Source organism: Homo sapiens, chromosome 4 (assembly GCF_000001405.40).
Source record: "Homo sapiens chromosome 4, GRCh38.p14 Primary Assembly".
NCBI lineage: Eukaryota > Metazoa > Chordata > Mammalia > Primates > Hominidae > Homo > Homo sapiens.
The window spans coordinates 48,603,216-48,617,927 of NC_000004.12; the positions used below are offsets into that span (position 1 = coordinate 48,603,216).

At 35.7% G+C, this 14,712-nt stretch overlaps 1 protein-coding gene across 17 annotated transcripts in view; it reads right to left on the bottom strand.

Annotated features, from left to right (window-relative positions):
• The window catches only part of FRYL (FRY like transcription coactivator), a 282,923-nt gene that overhangs the window by 105,859 nt on the left and 162,352 nt on the right, over nt 1-14,712 (bottom strand). For all 17 annotated transcript variants that reach the window (XR_007096393.1, XM_024453991.2, XM_024453993.2 and 14 more), the window contains 5 exons: nt 6,529-6,608; nt 5,772-5,852; nt 3,223-3,391; nt 2,526-2,618; nt 75-173 (listed from right to left, as the gene is read on the bottom strand). Coding sequence is in view for 16 of the 17 variants with exons in the window: in XM_024453991.2 (XP_024309759.1) it covers nt 75-173; nt 2,526-2,618; nt 3,223-3,391; nt 5,772-5,852; nt 6,529-6,608 (522 nt within the window). In the remaining variant the exon portion in view is untranslated. The remainder of the gene's footprint in view (nt 1-74; nt 174-2,525; nt 2,619-3,222; nt 3,392-5,771; nt 5,853-6,528; nt 6,609-14,712) is intronic.

Here is a 14,712-nt window from a genome sequence, read left to right on the forward strand (position 1 = left end):
TTTCCACTGAATTCATAAATCAATTACTAAAAATCCCAATTAAATATGAAAAGGTTTGAAATGTTTCTTAATACCAATGAATGCTTCTTTCTCGAGCTCAGTTCAAAAGTAGTCTGATAAAGCATCTCCACAAAATTTTTCAAACAGGGAACATTCACTTCATTTTTAACAGCCTAGTAAAAAGATAATGCAAACAAAGAAAATGATACAGATGTTAGATTAAACTATACAAAGAATACAAGAACTTTCTGTAAGGTTTGAAATTGGTTAATAATTCACTGAGACTCTCACTGAAGTACTACAATGTGCCAAGTGACCAAATGTTAAGTACATAAGATAAACCTAGTCCCAGCCCTGAGTGAACAAAGTGGGAATACAGGCTAAGAGGACACAGTATAACAGGTCCACTGAGAGCAAATTCTCTGTGCTCTTGGAGCACTCAAAAGGGGCCCCTATGGAAAAACTCAACAAGGAAGTAACATCTAAGCTGCATCCAACATCTCTTAACAGAAATAGTGCTAAAGCCTCCCATTTAACCTTGCTGGCCTTATCTCCCACCCTCTGACCATGTGCATGGGGACCCAGCCTTTGGAGCTTCCTTGCTGTTCCTAGAACGCATCAAAGAATTTCTTGCCTTAGGATGTCTACGCTGGGGCCTGCTGCCCAAGAAGCTCTTCCCACAGACACAGGAAGTCTTACTGTCTCATTCCTTTAGATTTTGCTCAATTGCTACCAACTCTTTCGATGTGGTGGTCTTCCCTAATCATACTCTTTTTAAAATTTCAACTCCCTCACCCCTTTGGCAATCCTATGCCCCCTACCCTGTTTACATTTCTTCACATTACTCTCCACAATCTGACATACTACCTATTTTATACACTAGTTTATTTTCTATTTTCTGCACTAGCAATTAAAATCTACGGTACTAGGGAGTCTTTCCTATCATACTCATTGTTGTGTTCCCTTGTGCATAGAGGAAGACCTGACAAACAGAAAGCACTCAATAAGTAAATGAGTAAAGAAAGAGAAGCCAGCCAGAGAAAGAGGGGAGGGAGGTTACTAGAGAGGCATGAATGTTCCAGGCAGAAGGAGCTGCATGTGCAAAGGCCTAGTATTATGGGTTGAATCATATCCCCCCAAAATTCATGTTGAAGTCCTAACCCCACAGACATCAGAAGGTGACTTCATTAGGAAATAGGTCATTGCAGATCACATTAATTAAGTTAGGATCGGGAAGACCCTAATCCACATGACTGGTGTCCTTTTAAAAAGGGGAAATTTGGACACAGACATACACTCAAGGAGAATGCCATGTGACAATGAAGGCAGGATTCAGAACCATGCTTCTACAAGCCAAGAAACACAAAAGATTTTCAGTGCACACAAGAGGCTAAGCAAGGGGCATGGAGCAGGTTCCTCCTCACAGCTCTTAGAAGGAACCAACCTGCTGGCACTTTGATCTCACACTCTAGCCTCCGTAAATATGAGACAATATACATTTCTGTTGTTAAGCTATCCAGTTTGCAGTACTTTATTACGGCTGTCCTAGCAGGCTAATAAACCTGGACACAAAAGCAAATATGGTATAAAAGAATCAGGCAACACGATGATAATGGACCATTGTCAAGTGCCTCTCTTCCTACAACCTGCTCCTTTTGACGAACTGCCTTAAAAACTAAAACCTAATCTCAGCCATCTGGGAGAAAAAAAAAGGATGATCAAACAAAGGGTGAAGTACAAATGATCATTTGGAAGGGATAAACAGTAATTCAAACAACTTACAGGAAAAGAAATCAAAGTGCATATCTAATAAAAGACTAAAACTGACATGACTTATACATGATAGCCTGTTTTCTTTTTTATAAAATGAGCCCAATTCATATGGCTAAAAACTGGGTGGGAGGAAACGGGGGCTGTGTAACTCAAATAAACCACTTGCAAACCTTTAATTTATGAGTTTTGTGTGTCCCCATTTTTAAAAATCTTCAATGCAAAACAGGTTTTAAAAAACACGTCAATCACTCTCATTAATATTTCAAATTCTTAACTTTTAAAACAATTCTCTGTTCACCTTTTCAAAACATGCTCTAAAGGTAGGACCTGAATACTACAAACCAATTCATATAAGCCCATAGGTCACAAGTAAGTGAATTCAATGTTTAAAAATGAAAGCCAAAACAGTTCAATTTTTCAACATGTAATACATTTCTTCATTTTTGAGATTTTAATTAGAATAAAATCTGAACAAAAAGAATGTAATTAATCTCCATTTCTAGCCAAGATGGAGCTGGATTTCCCCTACCATCTGCAACAACCAAAAAACAAAATACATGAAACGATCTCTAAAACATTGTATGATCAACAAAAGGAAGAGACCTCTGAGCAACAGGGAGCAAATGAGACGAGCCTTCCCATGGCCACAGCTTATTGTCATGTAAGTATTTTTAGGACAAAAAATAAAAGTATAAGGTTGATAAGGTTCTTGTATAACACACAAATGGTATGAAAATAAGAAAAATACTTACAGCAGCTACAGGGATAAGAATCTCCACAAATAAACCAGCAAGTGCATGTTTTATATCTTTATCTTTCACTTCTAAGAAATACTGAGCACATTCCTTAAAGGGAAAGAGGTATATACTTAGATTAACAAAAGAGGAAAGGTTAAAGAATTTGTAATATCACATCATTTTGTGAACACTCTGTCATTTTACCAAAAAACTAAGGTCAATGCATCTTCAAGTCAAAAAACAAAGCTGGCTGGGTGCGGTGGCTCACACCTGTAATCCCACCACTTTGGGAGGCTGAGGCGGGCAGATCACCTGAGGTGAGGAGTTGGAGACCAGCCTGGCCAACATGGTGAAATCCCGTCTCTACTAAAGAAAAAAAAAAAAAAAAAAAAAAAAAATTAGCCGGGCCTGGTGGCAGGCGCCTGTAATCCCAACTACTCGGGTGCCTGAGGCAGGAGAATCGCTTCAATCAGGAAGGTGGAGGTTGCAGTGAGCCGAGATCATGCCACTGCACTCCAGCCTGGGTGACAGAGTGAGACTCTGTCTCAAGGAAAAAAAAAAAATTAATTTACACTTAGAACAACTTAACACATGGAATAAGAGACTAAAAATGATGCCATTAATTTACGTGTATTTTGTTTCTTTTAAAAAGTCATGAAGAGCAAGGACTGTTAGGCTTGCTCTATTTACTGTCATTTAGAAGGTATATCACCTGCATAAATTGAAATGATGCTTCAAAATCTTCTACAGGATACATTTTTACTCGAAAAAATTTCATTCCCATTATTAAGCTGATGACACTTTGTACCACATGTGGGCTTTGTTCCTTTTGTCGCAGTTCTTTTAATTCTGTCACAAACTTCTTCCTTACAGCCTGAAACCTTTAATATACGTGGAGACATCATTTGATTTGAATTAAAAACACTAATTTCCACATGATATTTAAGGGTAAAAATCAAAAGGTATGCTACCTAAATATCATCTCCTTTCTCTACCTTCATTACAATTGCCAGAAAGGCACACAGAGGAAAATAAAAATTGCTACTCTAAATTTGCTGTTCATTTCTTTTAAAATTAAATTAAAAGTTTCTGAAGGAGAAATAATAGGATTTCTTTATTCCTATAATATTATCAAGACACCACCATTACCATTTAATTAATAACCATAATAGAATAATATCAAATAACCAACCCACAAAACGCCACCATGTAAATCAGTGTCTCCAACTTTTAAGGCTCTTTTTATATAAAGTCTGCAATTAGTTATATGGAGAGCATATTGGAGACTATAAATTTGTTCACAGAGATAAGCCAATCAATCATACAGTACTAATTATCACTTAAAATCAATACATCATTACACTGCCAAAAGGCTTTTGAAATGTGAGCATCATCCTGGATTCAAATCACAATTGTTAAAGCTAGTAAGCTTTTCTTCACTTACATTTGAAAAGGACATCTAATAGTTTATTAATCAATTATACTTAATTATCCCCTTCCCCCCTATATATTATGAAACAACTAAAGACTTTACTGATAATGTTACTTGGGGAAGCCAGTTCCTTAAAGTTAAAATAACCTCAAAACATGCTTTCCAGTGGTCACTGACTACAGTGAGAAGAACAAAAAAAAATTAACAAAATATGGATACATGACTGAAATATAACATCTTTTTTTATTTTAATCTTGGAGAATATGATACCATTTTTCATGACTATATTCTTTAGCACTTCATTAAGAAAATTTTTGTAAAATGGATAAAGTCTTTCCATTGAAATATTAGAATCCAAGGATTTTTTCCTTTTGTTAAGCTACTTACAAAAATTATTAGTCACTACAAACCAAGAAAATACATACACCAAGATTCAAATATACCTCCAGCCTTTATCTCCTTCTCTTCCCCACTCCCACTCAACCCCACCACCTGCCCCCTTAGGTGCTATCAGCCTAACTCAAAGTGGATCCTTTCACGTTTTCTCCCATGTTTATTACATGCATGAGCAGAAAACATCTTAGTATTGCTCTAAAGTGGCATTTCTCCTACAACTAGCAGGTGAGGCTGAGTACCATTTCATACATTTACTGGCTGTTTGGACTTACTATCCTTGCCATCTAGAGTTAACGTAGCCATGATGGAGTGTTCTCCTGGATCCAACTTGCTAATATATTATTTAGAATTTCTGGTCTATATTCCTGAGACAGAAACTCAGTTTTGACAAAAATAAAAATAACATAAACAAACTGTCATAAAGAGAAATACATCACTGCTCATATCTATGTTTTTGTGTCAATTTAATTCCATGCGAGATATTAAGATATTATTGTTGATGTCTAAATCATTTAAAATACTCAAACCATAAGGTATTAAAAAATTATCATCTATATCTAAATCATTTAAAATACTCAAACCATGTTCTAAGTTCCATAGCATTTGCTATACAAGGGTTCCTAGTATATTAAAAATTTTAAAAATATGCTAAATAAAATATTTCACTTAATATTAAAATGCAAACTACTTAAACATTAACAATAATTGTACTTGCCTTCTTAGAATTTAGAAAGGTTGTTTGTTATATGATGATTTCAGGGCCAAAGACTCTTTCAAACACATCTAAGAAAATATAATTTGATACTTTTTTCCTTATAAATTTCCCAGTAGTAACAAAGGAAATCCAAAATCTTCCATAATTGTTACAGTAACCACAAGTTGCTAATAACAAATATATTTTGCTGTTTACTAAAGTGATGGTTCAGTGCAACTCAATGTGTATAACTCTTAATGAATTAACAGTTTTAATTGAGTAATCTAGTATCTTTCATCTTTCCTTTTTGGTGTCTCTTACCAATTCAAACTCTGTTTAGCATTAAAACAAATATGATTAGAAAACACTGCATTGCTGAGGAATAAAAGTTCTCACTTGGAAAATAATTATTAGCTCTGTAAAGAGTTCTTTAAAAAGATTCTAACAGAATTGTTAAAAATAGGGAAAAAGATAGTGTCCTAAATATGGTTGGCAATTTCTGATTTGTTCGATTCAGACATTTATAGAAAACCCCAAATAAAATTAAAACAAGTGGTGAAATTGAGGTATGAGTGTTAAAGAGCTTCTGAGAAACAGAGCAGTAAAGTAATAAAAGGTGGAGCTGACTTAGTGCTATGGAAAATGGTGGATTTCGAACTATCAGTATCTATTGTATTCATTGGTAATGAAGCATTCTAAAATGCAAAGAAAATCTAAATGGGTGATTTACAAAACTTACTTTGATTGGGCAAGAACCCCTATCACCTCTGCATATAAATCAGCAATAATATGCACATTCCCAGTGTTGGTTCCTGAATATCTAAAATAACAAAAGAACAAACATAACATTTCATTAAATTTTTCTACAAACTCTCTTTCCTAATACATATGAAAATTCCTTATCAGAGTATTGTATAATTTTCTCTGAATATTCATTTATATGATAAAAGCAATACTAATTTTATTCTATCTTCAATTTTACTTTACTATATTTAACCTTCTGGTTCTTACATATCCAATCTGTAGTACTAAGAATTATTTTCACAAAATCTTTCTTATCAGCATTTTCTGTGGATTTAAAAGAAATGGGGGCTGGGTGCAGTGGCTCACACCTATAATCCCAGCACTTTGGGAGGCCAAGGCAGGTGGATTGCTTGGAGCCCAGGAGTTCAAGTCCAGCCTGGGAAACATGGCAAAACTCTGTTTCTACAAAAAAATACAAAAATTAGCTGAGTGTGGTGGCGTGCACCTGTAGTCCTAGCTACTCAGGAGGCTGAGTTGGGAGGATCACTTGAGCCCAGGAGGTCAAGGCTGCAGTGAGCCATGATTGCATCTCTGCACTCCAGGCTGGGTGAAAGTGAGACCTTGCCTCAAGAAAAAAAAAAAGGAAGATAAGAATTGCCTTGAACTCTCAAACAAATGATCAGTAAGACTTAAAATAGTCTAGACCTGGATTGCAAAAAAAGGCAACAATCCCAAGTTAGTATTTTACTTACCCTTCCTTATGTTTAAAGTGCTTAAAAGCTAAGTTTAGAACTTCATGAACTAAGGGATCGGGTACAGGATGAACAGGAATCTAGAATTTAAAAAAATTATCAAGTAAGAGTTAAATTATTGGTTTTTTATGAGTATTCTCATCAATTCAACTAATTAAATCAATAATCAATCTTAATGTTCATGGGATTATTACTAATCTGTCAATCTTCCTTTTTTCTGAGAATCTCGTTTTCTCTAAGAATTTGGTTACTCATCAAATTTCACAAGCTCTAAATTTAAGAATATTAGCTTCATAATCACAAATCACTGAACTATGGACTATGCAGTGGGAAAAGCAATAGTTGTTATTACTGCTTAATATTTACTGTCAGCAAACTAAAAAGACATGTACACCTCCCTGTAACACTTACAGAAAAGCACCTTTGTAATGAGTCAGCCCTACATTTAATATAACTCAATTTTGAACTATCATGAAAATGGTCACAAGGGACACTATCTTTTCTAACAATCTTAAACTATTTATAGACTTATTATTAAAAACCCGACATTTAAATAGTCTCATTTCAACTCTAAAAGAGTATATGCTAGTTCCTATTATGTAAAACAAATTTTAAACATTTAAACCAGTAATAAAAGCCCTACTCCTCCACCACATATAATCACTATTAACAACTTCATGTACATCCTTCCAGACTTTTTCCTACACATCCTCACATGCATGCGTGCATTCCTTAGTTTTACTTAACCAAATAATGTATCTTTCCATGTCAGTATTTAGAGCGCCTCCTTATACTTTCTAACAGCCACTCAATATGTATATATCACAATTTGATATGTATATATAAACCATATACTCAATATGTATACCTATATACATATTGAAATATGTATATATAGTATATATGTATATATTGTATATATACATATATTATATTATATATTATATACATATATTATATACATATATATTATATACATATATTATATACATGTATTATATATTGTATATATACATATATTATATATATGTTCAATATATTGTATATATTGAAATATGTATATATGTATATATGTATACACTCAATATGTATACATATATACACTCAATATGTATATATCACAATTTGATATGTATATATCACAATTTGAGGAGCCCCCTATTAATGAACATTTCAATTCAGATTTTCAATATTCAAGTAGTACTACAATAAACATCTTGTGCATTTAACATTATATACTTGTAGAGTTCCACAGGAAAGACTCTGAAAGAAGGAACTGCTGGGTTAAAGAGTTTACAAGTCATTGCTAACACATATTCTAGTTCTACACAGTCATCCTTCAGTATATATGGTGCATTGGTTCCAGGACCCCCGTGATACCAAAATCTGCAGATGCTCAAGTTCCTGATATAAAATGGTGTAGTATTTGCATATAACACTACATACATCCTCCCGTACACTTTAAATCATCTCTATCTAGATTACTTATAGTATGTAACACAATGTAAATGTTACATAAATAGTTGTTATACTGTATTTCCTATTATTTTTTATTATTGTATTGTTACTTTTATTTATATATATTGTTTTAATTTTTAATTTTTGTGTGTACCTACCAGATGTATATATTTATGGGGTATTTTTATATTTTTGATCCAAGGTTGGCTGAATTCATGGATATAGAACTCACAGATATGAAGGCCCTGACTGTGTGGGTCTATTTTTGAGCTCTCCATTTTGTTCTATCAATCAATTTGTATGTGTCTATACCAAAATCATACCATCTTTTTAATTACTAAAGCTTAATAATAAGTTCTCATATCTAGTAGTGCAGGTCCTCTCCTTACTTTTCTTCAGAGATAGCTTGGCTATTCTTGGCCCATTGTTCTTCCATATTCCATCTAGAGTCACCTTTTCAAGTTCTATAAAAACTGTTAGGATTTTTATTAGAGCTGCAATGAATCTATAAAACAATTTGAAGTAACTGTATTTTTATATATTTACATGAAATAACTTTTAGTAATATTTTCTAATTTTCTGGTTTTGTGCTTTGACAAAGAGATGCTTGATTTCACTAATCATAAGGAGAATGAAAATCTTCAAGATATCATTTTATACCTACTTGATGGGAAAAAGATTAAGTCTGAAAATACCAAATAGTAGAGAGAATGTAAAAAAGTGAGGTTCTGTATATATTGTTGCAAAGCAGCATACAATCTAGTGAAGGAGATCAGGTATGTCACCCCACAATATATTATTGGCATGCAGATTATTTTGAGCTAAAGGCAATTGAGAAACAGCAGATGCAGGAACAGTTTCCTCTACAATCCTTACTAAATAACCATTACATTCCATTAGTTTTCTGCATATATTTACCTTCCCACAATTTTATTGTTTCTAGAAGCCCAAACCTTTTTCCTTTGTCTTGTCACTACTCTACAACTTATCACTCTTTGTTAAAATGGTATATATTCCAGTCTGTACCTGAATCTTTGAAAAAAAAAAAGTGTATTAATTCTTGGATCTTTGCATATTTTCTTCGAGGCATCCATGTGCATTCGTAATAAACCTTTTGACCCTGGTAATCTTTCTCTTGTCAGTTCAGTTTGTAGAGCCCCAGGCGCTAAATCCAAGAAGGCAGAGCAAAAAGTTTTTTCCTCCCCTATACAGTAATTCTTGTGTATCTACGGTTTTGCTTTCTGTGGTTTACCCAAGGTCAACCATGGTTTGAAAATACTAAGACTGTGTGTGCACGTGTGTGTGTGTGTGTGTGTGTGTGTGTGACACCACATGCATACAGTTTTATTACAGTATATTGTTACAACTGTTCTATTTTTATTTATTTATTTTTGAGACAGTCTCGCTCTGTCACCCAGGCTGGATAGAGTGCAGTGGCACGATCTCTGCTCACTGCAAGCTCCACCTCTTGGGTTCACGCCATTCTCCTGCCTCAGCCTCCCAAGTAGCTGGGACTACAGGCGCCTGCCACCATGCCTGGCTAATTTTTTTTTTTTTTTTTGTATTTTTAGTAGAGACAGGGTTTCACCCTGTTAACCAAGATGGTCTCAATCTCCTGACCTCGTGATCCACTTGCCTTGGCCTCCCAAAGTGCTGGGATTACAGGCGTGAGCCACCGCACCCGGCCAACTGTTCTATTTTATTATTAGTTATTGTTGTAAATCTTTTACTGTGCCTGGTTTATGAATTAAACTTTATTATGAGTATGTATGTATATGAAGAAACATAATACAGGCTTAGTATCCCCTATTTGAAATGCTTGGGACCAGAAGTGTTTTGGATTTCTGATTTTCTTAAATTTTGGAATATTCACATATACATAATGAACTATCTTGGGGATAAGACCCAAATCTAATCACAAAATGTTGTTTGTTTCATATACACCTTATACACATAGCTTGAAGGTAATTTTATAAAATATGTTAAATAATTTTGTGCATGAAACAAAGTTTTGACTGTGTTTGACTGCAACCCATCACATGAGGTCAGGTGTATAATTTTCCACTTGTAGTGTCATGTTGGTGCTCAAAAAGTTTTGGATTTGGGGACATTTCAGATTAGGGATGCTCAACCTGTATATACAGGGTTTGATATTATCCATAATATCAGGTACCAACTAGGAGTGCTGGAACATATCCCCTGAGAATAAAGGGAGACTACTATATTTGCTTCAGTTATGACTGAAGTTTAACAATGACAGCTAACGACAACACTCAGCCATGCTATGTGCTCTTTGTTGCCACCCTACTACCACCATCAACATTTTCTATGTTTATAACACTTGTTAACAGTCTTACAAGACACAGGTATACCTCCTACTTTACAGATGAGGGAAATGAAGTTCAGAGGTTGCTGTGTACTTCTCTAGAATATACTATGTCCCTAGATTCTGATATATGTAAATGCATTTGAGGCTGGGCACAGTGGCTCACGCCTGTAATCCCAGCACTCTGGGAGGCTGAGGCGGGTGGATCATCTGAGGTCAGGAGTTCCAGACCAGCCTGGCCAACATGGTGAAACCTCGTCTCTACTAAAAATATAAAAATTAGCCAGGCGTGGTAGCACATGCCTATAATCCCAGCTACTCGGGAGGCTGAGGCAGGAGAATTGCTTAAACCCAAGAGGTGGAGGTTGCAATGAGCTGAAATTGCCCCACTGTACTCCTGCATGGGTGACAGAGAGTGACTCCAACCAAAAAAAAAAAAAAAAGGCATTTGAATAAATAAAACAAATCAGCAAGAAAACTTTGGTCTTATCATATTACTGCCAGGAAAGAAAGAGAAACACAGAGAAGTAAAAGAAGAAATACATCTTATCTTTAATTTTAATTAAAAATACATAAGTTCTGGTAAGACAGAGTTCGAGGTGTGATAAAAAATACATAAGTTCTAAAAATTTTACTTTAAGAATGAACATTATCAGAACACAGACATCCTGAAAGTCCCTATTTCTCCCCTTATTTTCAGTAGTTTAAAAAAAAAATTCTCAAACTGAATTTCCAAAGAAGAAAGAGAAAAGAATCTCATTTCGGGTCACAAAGAAAACGTTCTACTTTCATGGAGTAATATCTCCATCTTTAGCAACAAGAATTTCTAAGATCTTGCCATCGGTGTGATTTTAGAAGCGGCTCTAATTCTACTTCAATATGCAAGAAAATCTAGTAGAAACTATAGTAACTGGCTGGGTGCAATGGCACACGCCTGTAATCCCTGCACTTTGGGAGGCCAAGGCAAGCGGATCACCTGAGGTCAGGAGTTCGTGACTAGCCTGACCAACATGGTGAAACCCCATCTCTTCTAAAAATACAAAAATTAGCCAGGCTTAGTGACGTGCACCTGTAATCTCAGCTTCTCGGGAGGCTGAGGCAGGAGAACTGCTTGAATCAGGGAGGCAGAGGTTGCAGTGAGCCAAGATCAAACCATTGCACACTAGCCTGGGCAACAGAGTGAGACTCCATCTCAAAAAAAAAAAAAAAAAAAAAAGAGAAACTATAATAACAAATACTCAGGTTTATTCCAAGGCTATTTCCACTACCACTGCCAAAAGTTTAATGCTTTTTTTTTTTTTTTTTTTTTTTTTTTTTGAGACGGAGTCTCACTGTGTCTCCCAGGTTGGAGTGCAGTGGCGCGATCTCGGCTCACTGCAAGCTCCGCCTCCCAGGTTCATACCATTCTCCTGCCTCAGCCTCCCAAGTAGCTGGGACTACAGGCGCCCGCCAACACGCCCGGCTAATTTTTTGTATTTTTAGTAGAAACGGGGTTTCACCGTGTTAGCCAAGATGGTCTCGATCTCCTGACCTCGTGATCCACCCGTCTCGGCCTCACAAAGTGCTAGGATTACAGGCGTGAGCCACCGCGCCCGGCCAGTTTAATGCTTTTATCACATTATGAAAGTAAAGAACAAAAGACTAGCTTAAGATAGTGTGAAGTTGGACTAGCCCAATCATTAGCTAAATGACCAATTCTCAGCACCAAGGAGTGTAAACATCACACATTAGCAGAATGACAAGTCACCTCCCATGTGGACCTTTGGGACTGCTCATCAATATCTAAAATGCTATTAAGTCTGAAAATGCAAATAATCTACTCCGTATACATAAAAGATATCACCACCTTCTGATACTTCACAATAATATGAATAAAACCAAGCCAAGAGCTTGAAATGGCTCACAAACTAGGTTTCTCAACTTCTTGTTTGTTTTAAAGAATGAACATATGACTAAAATTCAATATTAAAAAGAGTATTGCTTCAAACTTTATAAATGTGATATTGCTGTTTAAACATGCTTTTATCATGGATCTAAGCCCTTTGGTACAAACATACTATTTTAGTTGGGCATTACCCCAAATTTATTCTAATGACTTTTTTAGAAAAGCAAAATTAGTCCTCTATTATCTGGAATTAATTTTGTTTCCAAGGTGAATCCCACTACTTAATTTCATCATATTTACATTAGCTCTTCGGCTAACTTGTTACAATGAAAAGTTTCATTCAATTTTATAAAATACTGGCCATTTCCACTATTCACAATAGCAAAGACTTGGAACCAACCCAAAAGCCCATCAATGATAAACTGGAGAAAGAAAATGTGGCACATATACACCATGGAATACTCTGCAGCCATAAAAAAGGATGAGTTCATGTCCTTTGCAGGGACATGGATGAAGCTGGAAATCATCATTCTCAGCAAACTAACACAAGAACAGAAAACCAAACACTGCAAATTCTCACTCATAAACGGGAGTTGAACAATGAGAACACATGGACACAGGGAGGGGAAGGAACATCACACACTGGGGCCTCTCGGCGGGTGGGGAGCTAGGGGAGGGACGGCATTAGGAGAAATACCTAATGTAGCTGATGGGTTGATGGGTGCAGCAAACCATCATGGCACCTGTATACCTATGTAAAAAACCTGCATGTGCTGCACATGTACCCCAGCACTTAAAGTATAATAATAAAAAAAAAAATACTGGCCATTTCACCTAATGTATCACATATTTTACCAATGAGAATTAAGTTTATTTTTATCATTAAAGAGAAAATTTGGAGTAAAATCAATGAATTTGCTTTATAATCTTCAGCAAATCACTACAATTAAGAACATTTCTTCACCTGTAAAGTGAAAATAATAGATAATATGTATTGAGGACTTTCCATGCATTAGGCGTTATTATATTTAATTCTTATGATTCTACAAAAATGATATCACACATTTTTATAGAGGAAGGAAGAGTCAGGGATAATAACTTGCCCAAAGTTACAAAGCAAGCAAGAGAGCTGGCATATTAATAGTACTTGCCATGGCCATCTCCCAGGGTTTATTACAATGATCAGTTGGCACAAAAGAGATAGAGTCCTTCATACATTTTGAAGAGTTCCAAACGTGTGATTATTACAGACAAAACAAATTATTCAAGATACAAATAATTTCTAATACATGAGGTCAAAGTCTAACCTATAAGGAATATTTTACTCGTCAAGACTGAAACAACCATTTATCAACACTTCAATCCTCTGTAGACTGTGTGCCTCATCACAATAAACCTGAATCACATTTTAATATAGGTGTATTATATGGGGCAAAAGTAAAAGTCCTATTAAATTGTAGATATATTACATTGTTTACTCTCTGGATCTATTAAACCTCATGTTATTCTGACAGAAGAAAATTGGGTTAGTTAGTGGTGATATTTCAGCAAGCTCTATTGATTTTTACATCGTTTTCTCTAGTTTTATTAGAGAAGCTACAAAGACTTGCCTTTTACCAGCGGGAATAATCCCTACATAGGATTTTAGATGAATAAAGTGTATCTATGTTCTTGGTGAGATACATATAAATGTATATATTTTTTGATGAGTGCATTTAAATTAGCGTATGGGGATAATAGTAACAGAGGGGAAGAAGTAAGTAGAAAGGATACTATAGGTTGGAATAATATGGTGACAGATCCAAAGACAAAGATTAGCTATCAAGGCCACTGTATTTCTTTTTCACTTTCAGTCCATGTGAACCATGGGTCAGAAATGATTTTGTGCAGTGCAGTGAATGTGAACAATGAGTCCACCAAAGAAAAAAAAAAAGATTTTTTTTTTTTTTTTAAAGAGACAGGGTCTTGCACTGTCACCCAGGCTGGAGTACAGTGGTGCAGTCATAGCTAACTGTAACCTCAAATCCCTAGGCTCAGGTGATCCTCCTGCCTCAGCCTCCAGAGTAGCTATGCCTACAGGCACATACCACCACACCCAGATAATTTTTTAATTTTTTTATATTTTGTAGAGATGGGGTCCCCACTACTAAAAAAAGTGTTATGTTTATAGGTCTTTTTTTTTCTTTTTTTTCCCCTACATGAAGACCTATCTGGACTGTGTTAAAAGAGGAGGAGGAGGGCTACAAAGGCAACAAGGAGGGGAAGAGGACAGGGAGGATGAGGGGGAAGAGATGGGAAAAATGCCTCCACAGGGTTGCCTGTGAATTGTAGTTCTGAAGCCAGTGCAATTGGGCAACTTTAGGATGAGGAGCGAGACTGACATCTAAGAAAAGGATGCCATGGGAAATGAACGAAGGAGGAAGGCACAATGGGGCCAGGTCACTGGGGTTCCTGAATGCTAATGTAGGGAGTCTGCCATTTCTCTGGCTGGAGGAAGAAACCCTATACTGTTTAA